The 27310-nt window shown below is 52.4% G+C and overlaps 6 annotated features.

Annotated features, from left to right (window-relative positions):
- Positions 10857–11617: an enhancer, noted in NCBI's record as "H3K4me1 hESC enhancer chr15:31604403-31605163 (GRCh37/hg19 assembly coordinates)". NCBI's record gives its function as "activates a minimal SCP1, AML or CMV promoter by ChIP-STARR-seq in primed H9 embryonic stem cells {active_cell/tissue: H9 hESC(primed)}" and the evidence as "EXISTENCE:reporter gene assay evidence [ECO:0000049][PMID:30033119]".
- Positions 15812–20230: an enhancer, noted in NCBI's record as "VISTA enhancer hs2231". NCBI's record gives its function as "enhancer in: neural tube[10/11] | hindbrain (rhombencephalon)[10/11] | midbrain (mesencephalon)[10/11] | forebrain[10/11]" and the evidence as "EXISTENCE:transgenic organism evidence [ECO:0001131][PMID:17130149]".
- Positions 16459–17044: an enhancer, noted in NCBI's record as "OCT4-NANOG-H3K27ac-H3K4me1 hESC enhancer chr15:31598976-31599561 (GRCh37/hg19 assembly coordinates)". NCBI's record gives its function as "activates a minimal SCP1, AML or CMV promoter by ChIP-STARR-seq in primed H9 embryonic stem cells {active_cell/tissue: H9 hESC(primed)}" and the evidence as "EXISTENCE:reporter gene assay evidence [ECO:0000049][PMID:30033119]".
- Positions 20325–20627: an enhancer, noted in NCBI's record as "KLF13-III DHS fragment used in reporter constructs". NCBI's record gives its function as "activates the KLF13 promoter by reporter assays in K562 erythroleukemia cells {active_cell/tissue: K562}" and the evidence as "EXISTENCE:reporter gene assay evidence [ECO:0000049][PMID:23985037]".
- Positions 20864–21546: an enhancer, noted in NCBI's record as "H3K4me1 hESC enhancer chr15:31594474-31595156 (GRCh37/hg19 assembly coordinates)". NCBI's record gives its function as "activates a minimal SCP1, AML or CMV promoter by ChIP-STARR-seq in naive H9 embryonic stem cells {active_cell/tissue: H9 hESC(naive)}" and the evidence as "EXISTENCE:reporter gene assay evidence [ECO:0000049][PMID:30033119]".
- Positions 24709–25024: an enhancer, noted in NCBI's record as "KLF13-II DHS fragment used in reporter constructs". NCBI's record gives its function as "activates the minP minimal promoter by reporter assays in K562 erythroleukemia cells {active_cell/tissue: K562}" and the evidence as "EXISTENCE:reporter gene assay evidence [ECO:0000049][PMID:23985037]".

The following is a 27310-nucleotide window of genomic DNA, read 5'->3' as shown; positions in this document are numbered from 1 at the left end:
TGTGGCTGCCCAATTAAACAGCCAGCTCACCCTATAGGGAAGGCCACAGTTAACACTGCCACTCATGTGCACAGAAGTTCTCATCAGCCTCTCAGTCCCTCCCAGGCCAAGGACAAGCAGGGAGCCAGAGCTGACCGGCATCTCAGGAAACCCTGTGTCATGAAATACAAAGCCACAATAGAGTTTTTAAAAAGCAAGTTGGAAGAAACAGACTATGCAGAAAGAAAGAAACATCAACAAAACCATCAATAATGTCATTAAATTTTAAAAGACATACAACCTGTGAAGGGAGAACATATATAAAGAAACATTCAGGGGAAAAAAAGTGTTCTTGAGATGTTTACAAGGTAACAGAAATGTAAAAGTAAAAAACCTCCTTGAAAGTAGAACCAAAATTTTTTTTAAAAAATGGAAAGTAGAGAAAAGCTAAATTAGTGGACCAACCAAAAAAATTATTGATCAATGAGTAGGGACCCAAACAGGTGATCAGAGAAAACACAAGAGAGAAAATCGTCAATGAATTATTAATCCAAGAGAGGCCTTCACGACATATGCTGAAAGGGAGAGAGCCCAACACAGTGGGAAAGAATAGCTCTACGCCAAGGCATATCATTGGTGAGTTTCAGAATGCAGGGGACAAAAGTGTCCTAACATTAAAACAGGTCACCTACGGATAGTCGGGTCAGAATGACTGTGGGCCTCTCCACAACAACCAGTTGAAGTTAGAAGGAAGGGAACAAAGCCATGGGAAATAAATGTAAAGGAAAATTATTTTCCAGCCTTCACCCAGCCAAACTATAAACCAAGTATTTTTCAGACGCATGAGGTTTCAAAAAATTTATCCCCCATGCATCCTTTCTCATAGTAGGAAGCCACCAGAGATTATACTTCATCAAAACAAAGATGTAAACCAAGAAAGCAGGAGACGTGATCCACAAAGCAGGGAAGTCATTGCAGGATGGAAGGGAAAGTAAGTCCCAGGTGATAGCTGCCCAGCCAGGTGCAGAGTGTCAGCAGCCCAGGCTGGAGCAGATCGGCAGCTCCAGGAACACGTCTTCAAGAGGTAGAATGAACAGAGTCCCTGTATCAGTCAGGAGAGGCTGGGCCACACTGCAAAGCTCAAAGGTTTATTTCTGGCCATGCTGCGTGTCCATAGGGAGGCACCTGGGGACAGCAGGTTGATGGAGCAGCCTCTGTCTAGAATGTGCTGGTTGCCGCACAGAAGACAAGGGATAGCATGGACCCAAGGGTGTTAACTATCCCTTCTTTCCCACACACGAAATACATTTTACCCCTCCCTGGGTGGGCCTGACCCATCTCACATGCCTTTTTAGTCTGAGTCTAGAGCCCAGAGACAGGATAACAGGAATTTGAGGTGAGGGACATTCTATGGCAGCCAGTCAAAGCCCAGGACCCCCGTGGGAGGAACAGTGGCTTCTTCATGTGGCTCATGTGGTTCCTCTTGGTTTAGAGACCTACGGCCTAAAGATGAATTGTCTGGGCCCCCGCTGCTCGTATGCACACCCAATGCTGAAAGTGCAAAGAGACAGAATAACACAACTAACAGCCTAATTCAGAAAAGGGAGGAGGGGGAGACACACAGTAGACAGTATCCATAGCAATCCTGAAACCCTGCTGGGCAGATACTGCCCCCTGCCCTAAAGTGAGACTAGTCCTTGAATAGCCTCAAATCTGCTCACTGTGGAGTTTGAGGATGGGGCAGTCAGGGCTTTACTCCACCCTCGGGAAGTTTTTCCTTTTGCAATTTATATCTCACAGTTCTGGAGGCCGGAAATTGTATTCCAGCCACAGATTGTATTAATCCTAGTTTTGGGCACTGCTAGTTTCTCAAAAATGTAGTTAACATCTTACCTAGTCTCTTTGCTTTCACTTGGTTTCATTGTATCTACTCACAGTACTTTTCAAGACATGCCTGTCTCTCAACTTAATTGCAGATCCTCTGAGCCTCTCAGTCTTTGATGGTAGAGTAACACCCTTAGTCTCTTTTCCCTGAACCTTTTAAGTTATCCAAGGTGACAATTTACTAAATATTATGCCATTCAATACATGGATGGCCATGCTTCGAGCCTTCAGAATCCATTTTCCCACTGCCTGCTTGATCAGCCACATATCTTGTTTTCTGTTGCAGCAGTGCCCCATTCCTGGTTACTATTCTCTGGACCAGTCAGGATCAGCTAAGTTATGCTACAGTAACAAATAGTTCCTGAAGCTCAATGGCTTAAAATAACAAAAGCCTAATTCTCAGTACATTGAGGGTTGGATGGAGACGTTGCTGTCTGTCATTATCATCCTCACCCCAGCACTCAGATCAACAAAGCAGCCACTCTCTGACAGTCACCATGGCAGAGGAAAAAGGGACTTTCTGTAAGGTCTTGCATTGGCACAGAAGTGACACACATCATTTCTGCTCATAACTGGTCATATGGACCGTCTGCTAAAGACTGCATGTTTGTGTTTCTCCAGGATTCGTATGTTGAAATCCTAATCCCAATATAATGATATTTGGAGGAGAGATCTTTGAGAGGTAATTAGGTAATGAGAGTGGAGCCCTCATAGTGGAATTAGTGTCCTTAGAAAAGAGACCCCAGGCAGGGCGCAGTGGCTCTTGCCTGTAATCCCAGCACTTTGGGATGCTGAGGCAGGTGGATCACTTGAGGTCAGCAGTTCAAGACCAGCCTGGCCAACACGGTGAAACCCCATCTCTACTAAAAAAAATACAAAAATTAGCCAGACATGGTGGTGCACACCTGTAATCCCAGCTACTTGGGAGGCTGAGGCAGGAGAATCACTTGAACCCAGGAGGCAGAGGTTGCAGTTAGCTGAGATCGTTCCACTGCACTCCAGCCTAGGTGAGCAAGACTGTCTCAAAAAAGAAAAAAAAAGAAAGAACAGAGACCCCAGAGTACTCCCAGAGTACTCCCTGGCCCCTTCCACCATGTGAGGTTATAGTAAGGAGATGGCCTTCTATGAACCAGAAAGTAGGGCTTTGCCTGACACCGGATCTGCCAGCTCCTTGATCTTGGACTTTCCGGCCTCCAGAACTGTGAGATACAAATTTTTGTTGTTCATAAGCCTCCCAGTTTCTGGTGATTATGTAATAGCAGCCTGAACAGACTAAGACACCATCCTGTCCACAGGGAGCCAGGAGTAGACCCATGATGTCCCCAAAAGGCAAGGAACTGAACTATTCAGGGACACATTAAGAGTTTCTCCAATACCCAATCTGACTTGAGAAGATTGAGAAAACTGGTGAAGGGTTTGGGATTGAAATAATAAGTAGACAGAAAACTAAATGAAGAGAAAAGACCATAAAAAGCTCCAAAGAAAACAAAAGGAAAGTCCGTTACAGTTGACTACTTGGCACAGTTGCAAATAGTGTTTTCATAATGGTAATAATGAATACTAAACACTGATCTTATAAGCTTTTCTGTATGGATCTGGTAGGGGAATTGGGCACTCATGTGTACACATGGCACAGGGGTGGGAGGGAAGTCCCTGTCTACATAATGGGAAGTCAATAGACACGGCTCCAAACTGAAAAACCGAGAAGCAGCGATGCAATCGTGCTGTGGTTGGTAGAATTCTAAGATGGCACCAGCATCCTGCCTGTGGTCTGTACTCACCTTTCTCCCAGTTAGTCAAACACTGAAGGGGTTTTGCAGATGTGATCAAGGTCCCAAATCAGTTGACTGGAAGATAGGGAGACGGTATCTGGGTGGGCCTGTACTAATCCTGTAAACCCTTTCAATCTGGGTCAAAGGTCAGAGACAGGGAGCTCAGAGAGAGTAGAAGCAAGACAGGGATTTGAAGTGAGGAAGAGTCCGTATTGCTGGCTTTAAAGACAAAGGGGCCACATGGCAAGGAACTCCAGCAGCCTCTGGTAGTTGACAGTGGCCCCCGGATGGCAGTCAACTGAAATGGAGACCTCAGCCCTGTAACCACAAAGAAGACTCTTACCACGTGGAGCTTGCACAAGGACCCAAGCTGCAGTGGACACAGCCTGGGCAATACCTTGATTTTAGCTTCTTGAGACCCTGAGCAGAAACCCAGCTGCACTTTGCCCAGGCTTCTGATCACAGAACCTCGAGATGCTAAACCGGTGCTGTCTCCAGCCACTAAGCTTGTGCTGTTTTGTTATGCAGCAGTGGAAAACGAATACCCATGCTGTTTGAGTCGTGGAAATAATTAGGTAAAAGAGGAAAAAGAGATAATTTCTAGGGATGGAAAGGGGAGGAAAGGAGGGAAGGACTGCTGTGTTTCCTAACAAACCTTATAGAATGACTTGACTCTTCAAGTGATATGCATGGTTAACTTAGATGTAAGGAAAAACAAAAATCAAAAGATGGGGTCAGAGACTACTAGCTGCCCAGTGAAATCTCTCCTCTCCACAGTTGCGACTCAGTTCACTTCCCGGACACCTTTTTGTTTGTTTGTTTGTTTTTTGACAGAGCCTCGCTCTGTTGCTCAGGCTGGAGTATAGTGGCACAATCTGCTCACTGCAGCCTCTGCCTCCTGGGTTCAAGCGATTCTCCTGCCTCAGTTTTCTGAGTAGCTAGGATTACAGGTGCATGCCACCATGCCCGGCTAATTTTTGTATTTTTAGTAGAGACGGGGTTTCACCGTGTTAGCCAGGTAATCCGCCTGCCTCAGCCTCCCAAAGTGCTGGGATTACAGGCGTGAGCCACAGCACCCGGCCTTCCCAGACACCTTGGTAGTTAGTTGTGAGCAGGTGACTAATTCTCAACATGGGAGTATGAGTGGAGGGGCTGCCTGTCACCTCTGCACTGGGGCTTTTAAGAGAGCAGGTCTCCATGCTGTAGCTTCCCTTCCCTGCCTGCCATTTGCATGCTTATGGCGACAGAGCTCTAGGGGATGATGGAGCCACCAAATAGAACGAGCCTGGGACGCAAAAGTCTTTTGGCCAAGAACATGCTCCCGAACCATCACTGTGTTTGAACCACAATATACGCTGGGGTCCACCTGTTACTGGGACTTAGCCTACCGTAATCAATGTGGAAAATGGGACAGGGAAGAAAAACAACAGGTGCCAGGTAGAGTGGGGCTGGACTTTTTTCTGGAGTGTGGCTCTCTAGGCTTCCTGGTGACAGCCAGGCTGTGAGATGCCCACTCTGGGCACCGTCCTCCCTTTCTCCCAGGGTAGCCATTGCCTGCAAGCCCTGCTTCTGCTCACAGAGCCCAGCCTGGAGCTGAGGGTGGTTTGGTTTATCCAGGATGTCTCATAGTGTCAGCGCTCAGTGCCCCCCAATTCAGAGGGCAGGCAATGTCCTCCTCAGCCCAGGAGTCATGTGTAAGTGCTCAAGCCCCCCACACACTCTCCTATCTGCTTTTGACCTGTCTCCTAATGTACTCATAATGTCACCAAGGAATCCTTCCATCCAAGGAGGGCTTTGACCCCAAAGCTTTTGCAGCCCTCAAGCCTGACCATTTCAGAATAGGGTTGTTGGATGAGGAACTTCTGAGAAAAACCTCATCTCAGTCACTGATGGTTTGGCGTTGTACAAAGAATGAGCCATTTTCTGTCGTATGACATGGGATCGGGGTAGAAAACTCTGTTTTCATGCCCTGTCTCCCATTAGTCCAGAGTGCAAAATAATTGATCAAGTTCTAAAGGACGAAAGCCAACTTCACATCTGGTGCACATTTACACGGGGAAAGATTAAAACCAGCAATGCTTCTGAATCCGAGCCATCGAAACACTGGAGAGGTATTTACAGTGTCTGCAACAAATGTACAAGGGAAGCATGTTAAAATGACGGACGATCCCTTCTAGGCTTGCCAGAGCAGATGGCTCCCACTCCTAAACATGAAAACTGACATGGGATCCCTGCCCTCCGTCGTGATCTGGGACGATCTCCAGCCTTGACGACAATTATCCATTCTACGTGTCCCCTTCCACTCTCACTCCTTGGTTGTCTGCCATTCGTAACTGGTGATCCTCTCCCCAGTTAGGTCTCAGGGTCAAATGCTGCGTTTTATCCCATTGACTCTGAGATTCCTGCCAAGCCTCTGATCAATGGCAATAAACCCCCACCCATCAGCGCTCACCAGGCACATTGACACACACAGGAACTCTACACAGAAGGTGCCGTTCATTCACATGTCCAGGTGAGAAAACTCAGCCTCCATCAGGCCAAGAGACTCCGAGAGCCACACGTAGCAAGATGCAGAGCCCAGGCTCTTGGCCTAGAGTCCTTTCACCTCACACTGGTGCCCCCACTGCCAGCCTACAGGAAGCTAGCCAGTTAACGCAGGGACTTACCAAATCAATTCAGGGAGAGCCAGGCTGGTTCATTCTGGGCTGTCATGGGAATCCATTCTAATGAGTGTTCTTATTAATGGGATTGGGAGGATTTATCATGAACAATGTAGGCTATGATTGCCTTGAATTCTGGGCTGTTTGCATCTAGAGCTGAAAGATGGCAAGGATTAGCCGTTCCGATACACATGAAGTTTTTCTTTTTGTTACTGCTAAAGTGAGTACCAGTCAGTAGCATCTAGGCACCATCAAATCACAGGAAGTGGAGCTGGAAATGAACTGCTAGGTCACTCATGGTCAGGTTGAGCTCAGCAATCAGCACACATGGTCTGTTGTTAACCTGGGGGCGGCAGGCAGTGAATCCTCAATCTATCATGTTCTTCATGTATTCAGTTAGTTTTATGGGCCCTGGGCTGTCTTTGTAGGACAGTATATTGAAGAGTCAGGAGCTCTTGCCCTGATTTTATAGTTCAACAAATTGATTTAAAATATTTTCAGAATATAGGTCTCAGTAGTTCTTTCTATCTGAGCCTCTTTGAACTGGAGCTTTCTGATTTGGTATGGGGTGTGAACTTGTTTCCTGTGTAGAGCAGAGAACTGCACCAAGAGGGATGTTAATATTCCAGGAATAAAAAAAAGACTGTTTTCCCCTCAATGAAAGAGAAAGGAGAAGAAGTTAAAAATCAGATTTAATCATATTACAGGAAACTTGAGAGCAGCCACAAGGCTGCCATTTCCAACCTGAAGTCACTTCCTGAAAGTCCAGAAATCATTCCCACTGGAAACCACTGACTGGGACCCTTTGAGGGGTCTGCATTGGGTCTGGTGGGTGGATACAAGGTAGATCCTTAAACAACTCCTCTCCAATGGGGTAAGAATGCCCATGGCTCTCAGCCAGCTCTGGGGTCAGTCACCAGCCATCTCCCCTTGGCGCCCGGTGCCTTGGATGAGCAGCCATTCAGGAAATAGGTGCCCAGTCAATGGGGGAATTCTCCAGCCACATCTGTGGTCTCCTTGAAGTCTCTCCTCAAAGACCTTTATCTGCCCAGGTGTCATTATGACGCGGTAATCCTGGACTGAGACAGCTCAGCTCAGGAACTGCAGCCTGGATTCCTGGGCCTGCTGACAGTGAGACATCCAGGGGAGCTGCCCATGAATGTAACCACCCCAGCGGTGTGCACACATCTCTACTACAGTGGCTCCACCGCGTGCCTGCAACACAGAGAGGACCGGCTGGCATGGGGGCTGCCCCTGATCTCAGGGAGACCTTCAGTGCAAGCAAGGAGGGACCAGGGATCCCCTGAGCTCATGGCCCTGCTGAGCTGAAGGAACCCCCTGCTTCAAGGCAGAGATTGTTCATACAGTGTTGTTGCAGTTTCTTAAAAAATGGCCAGTCCGGGCACGGTGCCTCACATCTGTAATCCCAGCACTATGGGAGGCTGAGGCAGGCAAAATCATTTGAGGTCAGGAGTTCGAGACCAGCCTGGCCAACATGGTGAAACCCCATCTCTACTAAAAGTACCAAAAAAAAAAAAAATTAGCTGAGCATAGTGGTGCACGCCTGTAATCCCAGCTACTCAGGAGGCTGAGGCAGGAGAATTGCTTGAACCCGGGAGATGGAGGTTGCAGTGAGCCAATGTTGCACCACTGCACTCCAGCCTGAGCCACAGAGTGAGACTCGGTCTAAAAAAAAAAACAAAATGGCCACACACTTATTTGATGCTCCTGCCATCGAGTCTGGGCCACTGGTGACTGCTTTGGCCTAGAAGGGCAGCCTTGTGACTTCCAAGGCTGGGTCATAAAAGGTGGGGCAGCTTCCTCCTGGCTCCCTGGGCACGGGCACTCACACATACCTCTGCTTGGGGCACTGAGCTTCATGTAAGAAGTCCAACTACTCAATCTGGTGGGTGTTTGGGGACGGGCCAGCTGAGCCCAGCTTTCCCTCCATCCCTGACACAGTGCCAGGCATGTGCATGGGGCAGCAGGTCCTTAGCTTTCCAGCCCTGGGTGTTCCAGCCCTGATCTGTTGGAATCATCCAGCCTTACAGACCTCCCAGCTGAGGCCTCAAATGGGAGGAGCAGAAACAGATCATCCCTGCTGGGCACTGTCCAAATTCTTGACCCACAGAAGCAATGGTTATTGCTTTAGGCCATTACGTTTGGGCTTGTTTGTTACACAGCAACAGTAACTGGAACAAACAACTTGGTTTATAGTTTCTTTTTTCTTTTTCTTTTTTTTTTTCTTGAGATGGAGTCTCCCTCTGTCACCCAGGCTGGAGTGCAGTGGCACGATCTTGGCTCACTGCAACCTCTGTCTCCTGGGTTCAAGCGATTCTCCTGCCTCAGCCTCCCGAGTAGCTGGGACTACAGGCACACGTCACCACACCCACCTACTTTTTTTTTGTATTTTTAGTAGAGACGAGATTTCACCATGTTGGCCAGGCTGGTCTCGATCCCCTGACCTCGTGATCCACCTGCCTCAGCCTCCCAAAGTGCTGGGATTACAGGCGTGAGCCACCGCGCCCAGCCTATAGTTTCTATAAACCAAGAAACTACTGGTCAAGTGCTCAAACACAAGAAAAGGATCCCTTTCAACCCTGGGGGGAGCAAATGTAGTCAACAGACAGGCTCCAAACTGAAAAACTGAGAAGCAGTGATGCAATCGTGCTGTGGCTGGCAGAATTCTAAGATGGCCCCAGGATCCTGCCTGTGGTCTGTACTCACCTTCTTTCTCCCAGTTAGTCAAATACTCGGTGTTTCTGTGAAGGGGTTTTGCAGATGTGATCAAGGTCCCAAATCAGTTGTGGGGGAACAACCGGTGCTGCTGGCCTTGGGTCTGACGTCTGCACTTGACGGGTGGGCTAAGGCATTTTCACGGGGATTTGACCTATACCACGTTTGACTTGGGGACCGACTTGAGACTTCCCAGTACTTGCGGCTGCCGGGTGGGTCCCCGCTGGTGAGCTATCTGCCTCCTCACAGCCAGCTTCCTCTGAAGGGAGGAGGGGTGCCCATCCCACACCACTCTTCCACCTGGCCACTGTCCACGTGGGGTCCTTGCGGCCCAGTCACCTCCTCAGGGAGATGACAGGGATGATGGCTGTCTCAGACCTGGCCCCTCTGACACAGTCTCCATAGACCCATGCTTCAGTACCTGCCTTATTGTATCATTATTTAAATGGAAAAGTACTTAAAAGCATAATAAGTTAAAAATTGCTGATAACCTTCATTTTCTTCAGGAAAGAACCATTTCTTCACTCTTTTCTGCCATCAACAGACTAGTTTTCTCTTTTTACACATTATGACGGCCACTGCTAATTGTTTACTGTTAGGCAGCTATTGCTGCATAACCAAATACCCCAAAACGTAGTGGCTTAAAGTAACAATAAACATTTACTACCATGTTTGCAGTTTCTGTGGATTTGGGAGTGGCTACAGTGGGGGATGCTGGCTTGGGGTCTCTCATGAGATTATAGTCATGACATTGACTGGGGCTGCTGTTGCCCCAGATTGGGGTTGGAGAATCTGCTTCCATGACAGTAACTCACACAGCTGGAAAGTTAGCACTGGCTGTTAGTGGGAAACCTCAGTTCCTTCCCACTTGGACTTTTCCACAGAGCTGCTTGAGCATCCTCATAACATGGCAGCTGGCTTTCCTGACCTAGAGCAAGTGATCAAGAGGGAACAGCTGTTCTTTTTATGGCCTAGCTTCAGACATCACAGAGCATCACTTTTACCCTATTTATTAGTTGGCTCTTCTGAGTTACTAAGTCTGGCCCAGATTCAAAGGGAGGGAAATTTGGCTCTGCCTTTTGAAGGGAGAAACTTCCAAACATTTGGAGACATCTTTCAAAACCACCACACCTGTCCAGTATCTGTTATTCCCTTCCTTCTGTAACTGTATTCTAAGCAGCAAGGTACCTGGCTAAAAAACATTTCCCAGCCTCCCTTGAAAGAATTGGAGGTTACTGAGATATAAACAGAAGTTGTTAGGTAAGGCTTGCCAAAAGCTTTTTAAGAATGGGAACAAGTAGCTAAAATGTACCCTTTGCCTCTTCCTGTTACTGGCTGTTTGGAATGCAAATGTGATAGCTGGTACTCCAGCAGCCATTTTGTGAATATGAGGCAACTCTGAGACTGGAAATCATATGCTAAAAATCAAAGGGAAAGTGGAATGAAGCCTGGGTCCCTGGTGACATCATGGAGCCTCCCATAACTTACTTGGACTGCCTAACACTGAACTTCTTTTATTGAGGGGGGTGGAGGACTGACATTTCTTGATATTTCTTGATATTTAAGCCAAGGTTACTACCAGATAAACACAGATCCTGGCCGAGCACGGTGGCTCACTCCTGTAATCTCAGCGCTTTGGGAGGCTGAGGTGGGTGGATCACCTGAGGTCAGGAGTTCGAGACCAGCCTGGCCAATATGGTGAAACCCCGTCTCTACTTAAAATACAAAAAATTAGCTGGGCGTGGTGGTGGGCACCTGTAATCTCAGCTACTTAGGAGGCTGAGGCAGGAGAATTGCTTGAACCTGGGAGGCGGAGGTTGCAGTGAGCTATCACACCATTGCACTCCAGCCTGGGCAACAAGAGCCAAACTCCGTCTCAAAAAAAAAAAAAAAAAAAAAAAAAGCAAAAAACCCACAGATCCTAAAAGATAAGCTCACCATAGTTCTTTTTTCACAACTGGCTTATATAGACTCCATCATGGTATTTCTAGGCCCTCTTCCTTCACCGTGGGTATATCTTCCCAAGGGCCTCTGAGCAGAGATAAGGGGGAAAAAAATACAAATCCCTGACTCGCCAACCTCCCTGGCAGCTGGGCGTGCCAGGAGACCACACTTGGGTCCGTGGGATCTAAGGGCCCAGCACGATATCTGTGATTTCCAAGAGACCCCGAACTGGGAGAGAGGAACCCTTGCTGCCTTCTGCTCTCCCTCCACCCACTGCCCGGGACCCAGAGCCTTGCCGGTGGCCCAGGAGCCCCCCACGGGCAGAGGAGCTTCTGCACCCACCCTGCTGCGTCCTCCGGCTACATAATAAGAGAGAATAAGGAGGTCCTCTCTTCCCGCAGCAGGGCTGCCCCTCGCACATACGGCCCTCTCCAGTGCCAAGTCTGGACCCAACGCAGCCCCTTGCGAGGATGCAGTGAGCAGAGCTCACCAGGGGGCCTTGGGAGCTCTGCTGGAGGGACCTGCAGAAACAAGGCTTGGGGAAGGACAACTGGATGCTCAGACAGGAGGACCACCTGGCAGTGACTGCTGTGGGCAGCCCCCTCTCCTGGCTCTCATCCTTTCTCTTGCAGATGCTGCAGCTGCCCCTCTCTGCTGGCTTTGCCCCTTTGGCTCTTAGCATCCCAGGGCTTCCTCTCCTAGCAGCCTCATGGCTCAGCTTCAGCACCCTCTGCTGACTCTCTGAATCTGCAGGGACAGACCCATTGGGGGAGATCTGGTGGGCAGCTGGTGGCTCTGCCATTGGTTCTCCCAGCAGGCCACCTTGCAACCCTGGTCAGCAGAGTGGGCTGCCCCGGGGAAGATCTCAGATCCAGTCTGTCAGGGGAGCACGGTGAGAAGCACGCAGCTGCAGCCAAGAAGCTTCTGGGGCCCCCAGGGGCTGCCCAAGGTGCGCTGTGCAGGGCAGAGGCTGGGCTGGAGTCCTGGCTGGACTGCCCCAAATGCCTGGCGCCCTCATCCTAAAGTGGGGAGCATCGTCCTGCCTCTCATGGGGCTGCCACATAAATATCTCCTCGGTGCTGAAGAGGGCTCTGCAAGGCACTTGATCCACAGGAGACGACCACCCGGGGCTGCAGCAGGGTGAGAGGGCAGTGCCCAGAATGCCAGGACTGTCCAGGACACATGCCTTCAAAGTCAGGGGATACAGCAGAGAGCCTAGCAGCTCCTGTTTTTCTCCTCAACATTCTGTTTCAAAAATTTTCAGCTGGTCGCAGTGGCTCACGCCTGTAATCCCAGCACTTTGGGAGGCCGAGGCAGGTGGATCACGAGGCCAGGAGTTCAAGACCAGCCTGGCCAACATGGTGAAACCCGGTCTCTACTAAAAATACCAAAATTAGCCGGGAGTGGTGGCACACGCCTGTAATCCCAGCTACTTAGGAGGCTGAGGCAGGAGAATCGCTTAAACCTGGGAGGTGGGGGTTGCAGTGAGCCAAGATCACACCACTGCACTCCAACCTGGGCAGCAGTGGGAGACTTTGTCTCAAAATAATAATAATAATAATAAATCAACCAGAAGCCAAAAGAGTAGTGCAAAGAACACGCTTTACTCTGATTCGCCGGCTCTTCAGTGATTGCCATGTTCACTGTATTTCTCTTTCCATCTCTCTGTCTATATCTCTATATTTTTTGAAATGATTTGAAAGTCAGCTGCTGACATCACAACACTTTGCCCTACACATTTGCAAAAAAGGAGGACTTGCTCTTGGATAGCCGCAGAGCCTGTATTGGACTGAAGAACTTTATTGTTAATCTATGAATATTGTATAATATGCAGACCATATTTACATTTTTGCAATGGACTCTTAATCTCTTTTCTATCCAAATAGCTCCTTTTTTTTTTTTTTTTTTTTTTTGAGATGGAGTCTTACTCTGTCACCCAGGCTGGAGTGCAGTGGCGTGATCTTGGCTCACTGCAACCTCCGCCTCCCAGGTTCAAGCAATTCTCCCACCTCAGTCTTCTGAGGAGCTGGGATTACAGGCGCCTGCCACCACGCCTGGCTGATTTTTGTACTTTTAGTAGAGACGGGGTTTCACCATGTTGACCAGGCTGCTCTCAAACTCCTGACCTCCAGTGATCTGCCTGCCTTGGCCTCCCAGAGTGTTGGGATTATAGGCGTGAGCCACTGAGCCTGGCTTAAATATTGCTTCTTTATCAACCAAACTGAGATCTCTGTCTTCAGAATGCTGCACTCTCACCCTGGTCATACCCCATGTTAGGGCTTTTCTGGAGCCTACCCACCTCTTCGGGGTGTGTTGGGAGAGTGCCGGTGAGGGTGGAGAAGGGAGCTGCAGGGACCAGAACATTTCATCCTCTCACTGCCACCGTTGTCTGTAAAGATACAGCTAAGCTCTGACAAAGGCACCGTTGGTTTTCCTGCCCTTTAAGAAGTTTGCTTCCAGGACCACAGACCTCCAGCCCCACTCTCAGCGACCCTAGGCCATGGGGCTGTTCTCAGGCTCACAGCCATCTGTAGCCCTGCCCCCACCCAGTCACCCTCCCATCCTTTCTTAGAGATAAGACAAAAAAAGAGTACCCCTCGTCTTCCCCCAGTGTGCTCTCCAGAAGGCAGGGGGTTATGTCTGGAAGAAATTGGTGATTACTAGGAAATCGTCTACATTTGTCCACCCATCATGACACCAAGCACTCAGGCTTCTCAGGCTCCTGTCTCATCCCCACAGATTGAATTTGGTCCCCACATCCCCAAATTTATGTGTTGAGGCCCCAACCCCCAGTGTGACGGTGGCCTTTGGGAGGTGATTAGGTCATGAGTGCGGAGTCTTCAGGATAGCATTAGTGACCTTTTTTTTTTTTGAGATGGAGTCTTGCTCTATCACCCAGGCTGGAGTGCAGTGGCACAATCATAGCTCAATGAAACCTCTACTTCCTGTGTTCAAGCAATTCTCCTGCCTCAGCCTCCCGAGTAGCTGGAATTGCAGACGCCCACCACCAGACCCGGCTAATTTTTGTGATTTTAGTAGAGTTGGGGTTTCGCCATGTTGGCCAGGCTGGTCTCGAACTCCTGACCTCAGGTGATCCACCTGCCTCAGCCTCCCAAAGTGCTGGGATTACAGGCATGAGTCACCGTGCCCAGCTGGATTCGTGACTTTTTAAGAAGAGAGGGAGGAGAGAGAAGAGAGAGAGAGAACATCTCCACCATGTGCGGTAACAGGAGGAAGACGGCCATCTCCATGCCAGGGAGAAAGCCCGCTGCTGGCGCCTGGATCTTGGACTTCCCAGCCCCAGAACAGTGAGAAATAAGCCACCCAGTCTGTGCTATTTTGTAATAGCCTCCTGAGCTGATAAGACACTCCATGATGCAGGAATTAGGCCCCCTGCACAGGAGGGAAACCTGCTGCAAGAGACACAGTGGGCCACACAAAGCCACGCCCGGGACCTATGTTGGAGCCTGTTGATCTGTTAGATCAGTTGACAGCCAGTTAAACAAACAGGGGTCTCCCATCATAAGAGGTTGGCAGGTGGGCCTTCCCAGGGCCAGGGAAGTGGCTCAGGGGTGCCCACAGGGACCCGGCTCCTCTACCATCCTTAAAGTGTTGGCTTTCTGCTCTAGAGACACTTGTCACTGCTCCAGGTCTGCAGCTGGAGTCAGAAGCCCGGGGAGGCTGGTAGAAGCCAGCAACCTGTGCCCTCCGTAAGAAGAAGCTGCTTTTCCAGAAGACTTCTGCTTCACTTTACTGGCCACAGGGTGCTTGTCCCCGCCAGCACTGGGGGAGATGGGGGAAGCAAGTTTCTGACCTGGCAGCTCTTGTAGGGGAGGTGGCACCGGAGAGTGGCTGGGCACATCCATTGGATCAGCCCATCCAGTGTGGGCCACCCCCGGGGTCTTATTACAGACCCTGAATTCTGACTCAGTTGCATAACTTGGGACAATTTGGGGAACTCATTCAAATTCCAAGTGCCCTTTAAGGTTTAATTGGATACGTAGCAAATGAGCATGCTCTGAGGTGTGGGTTTTTGCTTTCCCAGTAGTGGGGGAGCAGAGGATGAAATGTTTCTAATTCCACAACTCCCTTCTGCCTCTCTGAGATGTCCCAGGGTTTTCCTGGTGAGAATTGTTAGCCTGTGTGTCCGAGGGTTTTCAAGCTCACTGTAAGCTTGATCAAGGCAGCTCTGACCCCCAAAAGCTTCCTCGCAGGTGCGATGGGGGAGTCCCTGGGACCTAAAAGGAGGGCAAGCACCGGTCCTTCTCCCCACAGCCTGCAGCTGGCTCTGTCTTCCCCCACAAGCTGAATGGTTGTGCAGCAGGGGTGCAGGCAGGGGAGGGTGGGGCCCAGGCAAGGGCTCAGCTCCTCCTGGGCTGTGACACTGAGGTCCCGCCCACAGCTCTCCTGCTGGCCCGGCCCACCTGCAGCCTCTCCTTGGGGTCTTCCCCACACCTCCCTTTCTTGTTGAGGCTGCTGGGCCTTTCTCCTCCTGAGCTCTGGCTTCTGCACCTGCTGCATGTTGATCCTTCCCACAGCCCTGTTTCCTAGTCATAGTGTCACCTCCAGCTGGGCCAACCTTTCCCCTGGGGGCTGTGCTCCTGGCTCCTCAGAGGACACACCTCTACCCCAGTCCACTGGGTGCATCATGGACTCCTTTGACCTCCCTCTGGTTGGTTTTGGACTTCAGGGAGTCCCAGCAGGAGATCCCCGGGAGAAAGAAGGAGGGAGCCTCCCCCAGAGTCTCTGCAGGTGGGCTGTGTCCCTCAGGAGCAGGCGGTGGCTTTCAGGGCTCCTCTCCTCATGCTGTTTGCAGGTTTGCTGCACAGCCTTCCCACCCCAGGGTGACTCAGTGGTAATGGCCCCCTTCCCTGCTCTGATCTCTGGAGGGGATGGCCTTCAACACAGCTTTTCCTACACAGTTCCTGTCTCTGTCAAGGCCTCAGGAAAGGCCGCTGCCTGCGGGTGTGCGGAGGCCTTCGCATCTGTGACTGGCACGGCCCTAGCCCCTTCAGGTGAGCCAGAGGCAAGCACTAGTTAAGACTTTCTCCTGTAAGTCAGAGTAGCGACAACATTTGCATTTGGAATACAGTCGTGAAGTTAATTTAGTTTCATGAGCGCTGGCTGAATGCAGGCACTGAGGTGGAGCTTCTGGGCTAGGTACCAGGTGCCAAAATGCAGGTGCTCACAGCCGGGACACAGGACCATGCATGGAGAGAAGGCAGCAGGGCTCAGGAGGAGCTTCTGGGGAAGAGGAGGGGTGCACAGGGCTCGGTGGGCTAACAGGAGTTTGTGGATCCATAAAAGACACAAGGGAGTGGTATGTAATGGACACAGCCCCAGGACCAGTGAGGAAGGGGGAAGTGCTCCACAAGGAAGGGGAGGCCACTGACGGCAGGCACCCCAGGGACGCAGCGAGGGCGGAGGGCACTGTGCTTGCCGCCAAGGCAGCTGGATGCTGTGGCAAGGCCATTGAGGAGAGAGAGAAAGGACTGAGAAGCTCAGAAGGGAAAGGGGAAAGGGCCAGGGGAAACTCTGGGACCGCTGTGAGAAGCATGCCCCGAGGGGCCGGGACCTTCAAACCTCGGCTCTGCTGTGTGATACTGGGCTGGCTAGTGAACCTCTCTGAGCCTGTTTCCCCATTTGAAGAGTAAGAAAAACACCTGTTGTGAGCGAAGCATCAAATAATGCAATGCTGCAGCGTGGGCGCCGCACGCTTGGGGTTTGTGGTTTTCTTCCCTCTTCCAGCCTACACTGGTGACCTTGGAGTCCTCACCTCGCCATGGCCAGCCCCAGGCCATCCCCCCAGGCCCTTTGGGAACCAGGCAAGTTTCCCCCACCACCCACCCCACCCCTCACAATGTGTTCTGGATGATGCCCAGGGCCTCGGGGTCTGCCCCTGGCTGTGTCCTAGCAAAGGCATCAGGCGCGGCGCAGAGCCTCGAGGCAGCCGCGGTGCAGGGAGCAGGTGCTGGCAGCTGCCGTCAGCCCCACAATGTGGCTTTTGTCGGCCGGGGTAGCTGTGGAGCCCAGGAACAACCAATGTCGGGGAACAATTCCCAAGGCTCAGCCTGAGCGAGGCTGCAGCTCTCAACAAAGCCACCGAGAGCCGTTGGGCAGGCGCTTTTGTCATGCAAATACAGGCGGGGGACCGGCGCACTCCCCTGCATGCTAACCACTTTGTGATTCAGAGGAAGCCAGGGCCCTCCCGGGAAAGGCGGTGGCTCCTAGCTTCCCTGGGCCTGCCCTGCCTCTCCCATTGTCCTCTCCTGCACCCGGCTTGGTGAGCATCATGCTGGGCCTGGGACGCAGGCCCGGAGGCTCAGAACTCACAGTCTGACCAGGAAAGATGCAGAGGCTGGAGGACATCACCCCAAAGTGTGCAGCTGGCCTGGAAGAAGGAGACTGGGGAGCTGGGAGAGGGCTGAGCGAGGAGACCCCTCCGAGCAAGCCAAGCTCCCAAGTTCGGACCAGCCAGCCCGGCTGAGGACAGCATCTCATGGGGGAGAGCCTCAGGGGCAGAAGGACTGTGCATCCCAAGGCCCCAATGGGGTGGCCGGTGACTGGTTCCAGGAGAGCCTGGCTGGTGTGAGGAGGGCCAGTCTGCGGGCTCCTGGTGCACAAGGCTTGCATGCTTGAATGGGGCTTGGAGAACAGGTCAAGGGTCCAGGCCCTCTGGGCGGGGCAGGTGCCCCAGGGCTGGGCCTGTGTGCCCTTAGGAAAGGGCCTGACAGGGGCCTGGAGACTCAGGGTCCATCCCGACCCCACCCCACCAGCCCAGATGGCTATTTGGCATGTTGCTGAGTTTTTCTGAGCATCTGTGTGCTTATCTGTAAAACCAGCATCGGAATAAGCTCCATTTTAGGGCCACGGTGAGACGAAATAAAATAATCCAGATAAAATGTTGAGTTCAGTGTTCAGCATGTACTAGGCTCACAATGGATGATATCAACGGACAGCAATTTGCAAAAATTTCCAAACTTAGAAATGCAGATACTAATTTCCCAATAATGCTACTTCTAGGAGTTTATTCTACACATATTCCCACATGTGCAAAATGACATATGTTCAAGGTTATTTTTCACAGATTTGTGATGACCAGAGATTGGAAACAGCCCAACTGTCCATCTAGAGAGCCTGGTTAAATAGATGATGGTCTGTCCATCCATGTCACAGAGTAGTCTGCAAATGAAACAAGAACGGGGTGCCCTTTGTGCACTGACACAGGGATCTGACCTCACAAGGAGACACAAAGGAAGGACCCCTGCACAGCCAGTGCCTGTGGCCCAGAGTCGGTGTCCTATGAAAGGAATGGGGCCAGTATCTTGGGGACCCAGGCAGCCTGCTGGGCAGGGACAGAAGGTCCACTGGGCCCAGGGAAAAGGTTGGGGCAGCAGGAAGGGCAGTGTGCCCATTTCTCTCTCTCTCCTTTCTTCTCTCTCTCTCTCTCTCTCTCTCTCACACACACACACACACACACACACACACACACACACACACACAGAGAGAGACTTGGAGATAGAGACTTTCTCCTGCAAAAACAGACCATCTTGGGCAAGGTGGAGCACACAGCTCTGTAGGCTAGAATAACACAACCAGTCACCATAGCAACAACAGGGAGTTGTAATTTTCAGACTGTGAGCTGCGCCAGAACCCAGGGAGAGGATGCAGGCCACCAGCAGGGCTCCCTCCGGGCAGGTGTCTCTGTAACCCGGGGAATGGAGGCCTCAGCCACCTAACCTGTAAAAGTAGGATCTGATCCGCACACCGCTGCCCTGTGATGCCTTGGAGGAGAAATTGAGAAAGGCTAGGAGCTTTGAAGCAGGCTGAGGGCTCTCCAAAGCGTGAAGGCTGTTAGCCTCTCCCAGCACGCCCAGCGGGGATGCCTGGTCCCCTTCTCTGCTCCCGAATGCCCTCATTAGAGACGCCTGTGTGCAGCCCTGAATTTCTATCATAAAAGCATCTTTCAAATGAATAAATAATGACTAGAGAAAAGGAAGAAAGCAGATTGCATTTCATTGGGCAGGAAAGTTGCTTGGTCTCTCGGGGCTATTTGGCCAAGCTGCCCACAGGTGCCCACTGCGTGAACACAGGTGTGAGTCCCCACCAGATGCTGTTCATTGCTTTCTAAGTACCCTCGCCCCCACCTCCACCCCAACCCCAGCCCCATCCCAGCCCTTCCAGCTTGCAAAGTCATTCTATCATGGCTGTCTCTCCAAAAAAGAGCCATTTCCCAGGAAGGCACCACCCTGACCACTGGCCTTGTCCCGTGGCATGAAGCCAGCGTCACTCTGGACATTGCTGGCTGAGCTGGTTGGACTATGACTGTGGTGGCCAGCACCTCCCAGGCCTGACCCTGCAGAGAAAGGCCGAAGATGAACTCTGACCCCTGGGTGCAGCCACCCCAGCCAGCCCAGCCAGGCCCAGCGGGCAGCACCCCTCTGTCCCCATGGGCCTGGGATGCAGTGTCCCATTTTCCCTGGTGAGACTGGCCTTGTGGGCTATACAGGGGGCAGGAACTAGCAAGGCTATTCAGGGCCTCACCGAGGGGAAGGGCCACTGTCTCCATGGCTGCCAATTTCTGGCGACGTCCCCAGTGGTCTTCCTCCTGCAGGTTCTCAGGCGGTGCCCTCCCACTCCAGGCTGTGCCTGGCTGGGGGGTGGGGGTGCAGGCCAGGCTGGCTCCGGCTCCCACTCACACTAGTGCTACAGGGCTATGGTCCCATCCCTTAGCTGGGCTAGAAACGGAGAGGCGCTAGGCTTGGGGCTTGGGGAAGGGTCCATCTTCAATAGCTTAGTTCTCAAACTGTGTTCTGGGGTGGGCAGGGAGGGTGAGCCACACTCCACAGGCAATGGTGAGTGCTTGAAAACGCCTTTTACAAACTAGTGAAAACAAACACAGGAGTATGCTGAATAGCACACATCATCCCATGACGTTTGAAGGCAGAGCAACATCTCTTGCAGGCAGCTCTGCAGGGGGCCCTCTTGGGCCTTATCACTCTCAGTTGGTGGTAGACAAAAGTCTGAGACCCCCATCGCATGAATTTGTGTTCCTGTCACTTTTCACATGCATTCATGCTGGTGCATGATCTCTAATCTTTATAGGAGTCATTTTATCTCCTTTGGAGGGATTTGGGAGTGAGGAGTTGAGAGGCAAGGCTTTAAAGGAGCTTGAGGTCACCTCCCCTCACCCACTCCCAGGTGGAGTCAGCCCCTGAAGCCCCTCTTCCAGCCAGGTAGGCCTGGTTGTGGCTCGTGGCTCCGGGAAGGGAAGGCTGTGTGGGCGGGGTGGTTGTGTGGGCGGGGTGATTCCTCTTGGCTTGGCTCAGGGGCCCAGCGCTGTCCCAATCTTGTTTGGGGTGTGGTCTCTTTTATGCTGTATAATGACTCAAAAAAAAAAAAAAAAAAAAAGACCTTGTTCTTGAACAAACCAAGAATATCTGTCCCAGCATAATGACAGAAATATTGTGACAAATTAAGCATCTGTCATTGAGCTATCAGGCTCTATTTTAGGTTAAACCTGCTTAGAGATTACGCTCCTTTCAGCTCAGTGCTGCCTCCCACTGTGCCCTGTAGGCACTCTGAGGCTCTGGGGACAATTGTTGGGCCTCACCGGGCCCCAGTGGCTCCGTCTGAGATTCAAGGGGGTGGGCTTAGCCCCTGCTCAGACACTTGCGGCACATCCAGCCAGCCTAGGGAAATTTCATCTACTTCTCCACAGTCCCCATCCCCTCTTCGGCACCCCCATCTCCCACCTAGGTCCTAACGGCATGTGGCACTCAGCGAGCTCCAACTCTCGCTGGACAGTGGGAGTTGTAAAGGGAGCAAGGTGCCCCTGCTTGTCCCTGGCAGAGAGAGCCCAGGGACCCCACGAGGGGTCTAGAGGTCTAGAAACAGGCATGCACCATCTCCTTTCTGGGCCAGGGCCGGAGGGACACACACAAGGCAGCTGAGGGGGTCGAGGTCACCTTCAGGCCACTTGGGGATGGTCTGGAGCCTGTCCTGCTGTGTCCCTCAGCCCCCTCCGTGCCTGGAACTGGCCCTACCCCAGCAGCCCCCCATTCCTAGAGGAGACTCCAGTGACTCGATTTCTCCAAGGATCTCTGTATTTGCAGTGCTTAGTACTTTATCTCCCCCACCGGTCTCAACTTCACAGAAGAGACAACTGCCACAGAGAGGCGACCTGCGTGTGCTTCCCCAGCCACTTCTAACCTGCCGACCTCATGCCCTCTTCCCTAGCCTGCAGGTCCTCTGCCAGCCACACCTGGGGCCATGACGTCCCCTCTCAGGGAAGAGCCAGGGACTCCTGCTCTACAGAAGCTCACCCCTGGGTGGCTTGGACTCATAGCCAGGCCAGGGAGTGCGGAGTGGCCCCCCAGCCAGACGCCACATTGCATTTTGCAGAATGCGCCATTCCGCACGGCCCCCGCACACGCTGCTCCCTGGCCTGGAATACATCCTTGAGCATCCTTTTTCTGCTCTGGGAGCCTTCTCTGCCCACACACTCTCCTGGCAGCCTGGGCACTGTGCAGTTATTTAGGGCTGTTCCTGTTCGTTTGCCTCCTCGGCTTCCTACCAGACTGTGAGCTTCTTGGGGGCTGGTCTGGACTCAGGGGACCCAAGATGGGCCTCATGGTGTCCAGGGAGGGTGTGCAGACCTCCCTCTGTCCCACAGTTCCCACTGGTCCCCTCTATGCATACAGAAAGGTCCAGATGGCGGAGAATGTTCCAGGCCCAGAAGCATCTCTTCAATGATCCCTTCCTGAGTAGGGGTGTCCATAAGGTGCTGTCCCCTAAGTTCCCAGAGCCCCTCACGGCTGGGGCCTTTCTCCACGGGTCTGGGAAAATCAGTCTCAGCAACCAATTGCACCTAATTATTTACAGGACTGAAATGGGTTAGAAATCTTGCAAGATTCAGGCCCAGTAGAAAGGCCCTTTTGCATTTTTAAAAAATCTCAATGCAAATCCAATGCAAAAAAAAAATAAAAATATCTGAGGGTGTTTCTTAAATTAAGTTTGACACGTTACTGTGTCATTCAAAAAAAAAAATAACCAAAACAGGCCTTTCCTGGATTTGTTTCTTAAACATTTCTGTGAACGAGAAGCAATTTCCCTGCCAGCCCCTCACTCCAGATGGCCTAATCCCCTCGGGACCTGCTTCAGGCCCGATAACATCTCTTGGTGAGCTGGTCACAGTAAGGCCCTGCACTCACTTCTCGGCAGGGTCCCCAAGGGACCTCGCCACTGGGCAGCCGTGGCAGATGGGCTGTCCCTGCCTGCCCACACACAGCAGCCATCCCCACGAAGCAGGGGATGGTCCCTGCTGGCTGAAGGATGGCTGTTTTTCTCAGATCCAGGCCAAGTCACTCGGGCAAAAGGTCTGTTCCTTCCTACTGAATGCTCTGTTTGTAGCAATGCTAGGGCAACCCAAAGAGGACGGACTCTGTAGAGAGCCCATTGACACCACCCTTATCTGCCAAGGGAGGAGCTGAGGAGGGGCTTCCTGCCCAGCATCGCCAAGGGTGTTCCTGAGAGCCGGGCTGGACACCAGGGCCCTGCCCTTGCCCCACACAGGCTGCAGGGGAGCTGTGCAGGGCTGCACAAGTGTGCGTTCTCAAGGTGAACAAAGGCAGTGGGGGTGGGGAGGGGCAGGGAAGGGAGAGTCAATGCCATCCCTGGTCCAGATGGGAGAAGGTCCCAGCTCAGGAGAGCCCCCACCCCCACCCAGCTCTGGGAAACTCTGAGGCATCCCACACAGGGCCCTCCAGACGTGACTTCCCGGCTGCTGCCCACCAACTGTTCCCCACGGCTGCCCAGCTGCGCCTGCACGAGGCGCCCAGCCAGCCCAGCCAGCACCGAGGGGTCGATGTTTGGGGGCTTCAGGAGCCACATTTTTATACAGGCTGAAAATAGAGTTGGAGACTTTTAATTTTGCCGATTAAGGATGTTGTCATAAAAACAATCTCTAGGCACTATAATAATTTCATTTAAAAAGGATGTTTTAACATTTCAAAAAACTCATATTAAAAATAATAGAAACATTCAGCATTACAGACATGGGCAAAGCTGTCCTCTTTTTTCTCATTTCACCCAGGACCAGGGAGCTCTGTTAGGAATCCCAAGGCAGGCTGAGTTGGTCCAACCGGTGGCCTGGCGGTCCCAGGGTACCCCACAGGCCCTACTAGTTGGGGACTGACAGCCAGGCCTCCGCTGAAAGTTTCCTGTTCCCCAGACACAGCCTCCAGGGGTCCTGGGTGACCCCTGAAGAAGCCTGGCCAGCCCAGGTGTTTCCTGGAGAGCGCCTGGCCCCAGGCCCTGGAGGGGTTGGGCGGGGTGGATCCTCCCTCCGCGACCTGGCATCTCTGGCTTCCAGGGCTGGCACTGCTGGCCAGGACTGCCCCAGACACTCTGCGTGTGCTCAGAGCCAGCTGCCACACAAAGCCGCATTGTGGGCCTCCTCTTGGCTGGCAGACACGTGACAGCAGAGGGTGGGTGGTGGGCTGGGTGGGTGTGCCCCACTGCCTTCTTCCTGGTCAGGGCTCAGCATCCTCGCATCTGACCCCACATAGCAGGAGCCAGGCCAGGCAGGCTCTGGGGCCTGGGTGGGGGCATGAACAAACACCGAGTTGTAATCATAGTGCCCTGGAGGAGGGCTATCATCCAGGGGCCCCCAGCTGCACTCCTTCCAGGGGCGGCCAGCACCCAGGCCACAACTTCTCCCAGAGCTTGGTCCTTCTGTCTCTGCTCCAGCCCAGGGCCCCCACACTCTCCCTTTCTCTTGCAGTTGATGCATGGACGGCTCTGACTTAGAGCCTCAGCCCGGGCCAACTCGGCTGCAAGGAGAAAAGGGAGCTCCAGACCTCAGGGCCTCCAGCCACCTGGGGGTCTGCCTCCAGGAGCGCAGCTTTCACACAAACAAAACGAGCAAGACTGCTCTGCCCATGCCGCCCATGCCTTCCTGCAAGCCCCCAGTCCTGCTCAAGGCTCCCACAAACAAGGAAACAAATCAACAAGAAACACCCCAAATGGAGAAGAGAGAGCCCTCCCTGGCCCGAGTGTTGTTTGGAGCCTACCCTTGGGTTCCTCTCCTTTCCAAACCTCCCAACAGCACAGCCTGCACCCTGGGGTGACGGGGATGCCCGGGTGTGATGAGGCACCATCTGCACGGTGGAATATTATGCCATTCAAAAATACCAAGACTCCACACTAACATGAAAAGAATGCGGCTGGGTGCGGTGGCTCACGCCTGTAATCCCAGCACTTTGGGAGGCCGAGGCGGGTGGATCATGAGGTCAGGAGTTCAAGACCAGCCTGGCCAAGATGGTGAAACCCTGTCTTTACTAAAAATACAAAAAAAAAAAAAAATAGCTGGGAGCAGTGGCAGGCACCTGTAATCCCAGCTACTCGGGAGGTTGAGGCAGGAGAATCGCTTGAACTCAGAGGGCGGAAGTTGCAGTGAGCTGAGATCACGCCACTGTACTCCAGCCTGGGTGACAGAGTGAGACTTTGTCTCAAAAAAAAAAAAAAAAAGAAAAGAATGCATGCCCAGCCATTTCCCTGGGAGGCCCCATCTTGGTGAAGGGGGCACCACGCTCCTCCTGGCCCAGGCCAGGTGATGCGGTATTCCTTTAGAGTCCTCCCCCCCCTCCTTCCCTGCATTCCCCTGTCACCCCCTGCATGGAGGCCAGTGCCACCATCAGAGCTCCTATTCCGGGCCCTCCTCCAGTGGTGCCCTCCCCACAGACAAGGAGTCTGTGGGCCCAGGAGATCTGCCCACCCAGACCTGTGCCCCTTCTAGACCATGCAGCTGGCCCTGGGGCCTAGAATTCCCCCCAGACACCTCCACCTGGGCCTCATGGGTCTCCCCGGGTCTCTTCCTGATAGGGGTGCACAGCTGTGGGCCTTGCGCCAGAAGGGGCAGCTGTTTCCAGTGATAATCCCCATGTGGGCTGGGCTGGGCTCGGCTGGGCTGGGCTAGCGGGACTGTGGGATGGGCAAGGAGTGGGAGACGAGGGGAACCGGCGGGGCCTAGGCCACACTTCTGTGCAGAACGGATTCCAGGATCCTACACTTGAGGCTGGCCTTGCGGTCATTGTGAAGACTTAGCTGTCAAGGTAAACGGATAGAAGGTATCCCATCAGCAGTGCGGTAGCTGAACCCATCACTTTCCTACACCAGGACATTGTGACATTGCGCTATAATGAGGAATATGCATTTGGCCTTTGTGGTCTCCCCACCCTCTTTCCTGCCACATGGCTTCTAAAACTCTTGAATCTCCAAAGCCATAAGTGTCTTTTTGTGTGCTCATGGGAGGGACTGGTGGCTAGGGACTCCTGGGTAGAATCAGGAGCGGGGTTGGTTGCCAGGGGAACCAACCAATAATCAGAGGGTTGGGATTTCAGCTCCACTACCCGCCTTCAGAGAGGGGAGAAGAGCTGAAGGTCAACTTGATCACCAATGGCCAGTGATGTAATCAATCAGTCTATGTAATGGAGCTTCCATAAAAACCTGAAATGACAGGTTGGGAGAACCCTATGCTGAACACACAGAGGGGCTGGGAGGGTGGCACGTAGAGAGGCCCGGAAGCTCCCACCCCTTTCCACGCTGACCACCTGTGCATGTCTTCCATCTGGCAGTTTATCTGTATCTTTTACAAGATCCTTTAAAATAAACCGGTAAACGTAAGTAAAGTGTTTCCCTGAGTTCTGTGAGCCATTCTAGTAAATGACTGAACCCAGGGAGGGAGTCCCGGGAACCCCTGATTTACAGCCTGTTTGTCAGAAACACAAGTGACAACCTGGACCTGCAATCAGCATGTGACGGGGCGGGGCAGCTCTCTGGGACTGAGCCCAGCCCTTAACCTGTGGGGTCTGATGCTATCAAAGTAGATTGAGTCAGAATTGAGTTACACTGTAGGACACCTGTTTGGCATTTGTAGAGAACTGCATTGCTTGGTGTGGGAGAAGCAACCCACACTTCCAGAGACTGGAGTGGTGCACACAGGTACAGAAGACACATGGCTTGCCCTTCCTGCACAGGTGTGGAGCAGGTGGGCTTTGGGGTGCGCTCAGCCCTGCAGCCCTGAAAGGTGCCTTGATCTGGCCCCCGTATCACTGCCCGAGCTGGGGCTCAGCCCCTCACTTCCGCTAGTCCCAAACCCACTGCTTTCCCAAGCCTCTCCATGCTGAAGGAGCAGCTCTGACCAGACTCACCCAGGCCCTTTTGGCCCCTTTCCCCACGAGCTCAAGGCCTAGGACTTCCCTTGGTTGTCATCACCCATGTCCTTGCAACCCACCCCAGGGTTTTAAGGCTGACTTCCCACTAGCTCTGTCTTATCCCCGCATACCCTTCTCCCCACCCCTGGTGAGCTCAATGGGTGGCCGGCCCATTGGCTGTGACCCCCGTTTCCCCACTATTTGAGGCTCACCTTGATGTGCCCCCTCCTCCCTGCCAGTGATGTGGGGACCGTCCTGGCTGGCCACTACCAGCTGTTTGACTCTCTCCCCACTTGCTGAGAGGGGCTGAGGACCCTGTCCTGCTGATGAGACATAAACAAAAGTCGGCTGGGAATTCCTGGCTAAGGTTTCCTCTCTGATAAAAGAGACCCACAGGAAGAAATAGTCTAGCATGTTCCACTGGACTTTTGCCATTGTCAGGATATCACATCTTTTACCAGCCAAGGGTGAGGCCACACCCGGAGGAGGGCCACACTCAGGGAGACACCCTGGAGCCTGGCATAGGGTGCCCACTGCCACCCTGCCTCTGCACTTTCTGCTACAAGATCCTCAGTCCCTGTTGCTCCTCCAGCTTGAGCCTGGGTCTTTGTCACTTGCAGCCAAACAAACACCCTACACCTGGCACTGCCCTGCAGAGCCTCGTCTGATTCAGTCCCTGGCCTCCTCCCAGGACTCAATCCCTGCTGCCTTTGTGCTCTGGCCCCCTGAGGCAGAACACCACCCGCCAATGTGTACCTGAAAGGCAAAGGTCATCCCGCATCCAGGGCTGCGTCCTGCCCTCTCCTGCCCCTCCCGGCGTCCTGGTGGCAGGCCAGATGCCCGTCCAATAGAGTTCAGTTGAGTTTGTTGACACAATGCATTTTTTTTGTAAAACATCCACTGTGAACCTGCTCCTTTTGTTGTGCAATATCTTTAAAGTCCACATGGTATTAGATTTGTGAAGTAGGAAAACATTTCTCCCTCCCTAGAGATTAATTAACAGCTTCTATTACAGGTCTGCAGTCTCTAACTCACAGTTCCAAAATCTAAATATTCCTGAAAACCAAGACTTTTTCCATAAGTTTGTGGCAAACTCATTTGGTGGCAAAACCTGACCTGG

The sequence above is a fragment of the Homo sapiens genome, chromosome 15 (assembly GCF_000001405.40).
Source record: "Homo sapiens chromosome 15, GRCh38.p14 Primary Assembly".
NCBI classification, from domain to species: Eukaryota; Metazoa; Chordata; class Mammalia; order Primates; family Hominidae; genus Homo; species Homo sapiens.
The sequence above is the reverse complement of the archived record's forward strand: the minus strand, read 5'-3'. Positions and strand labels throughout refer to the sequence as shown.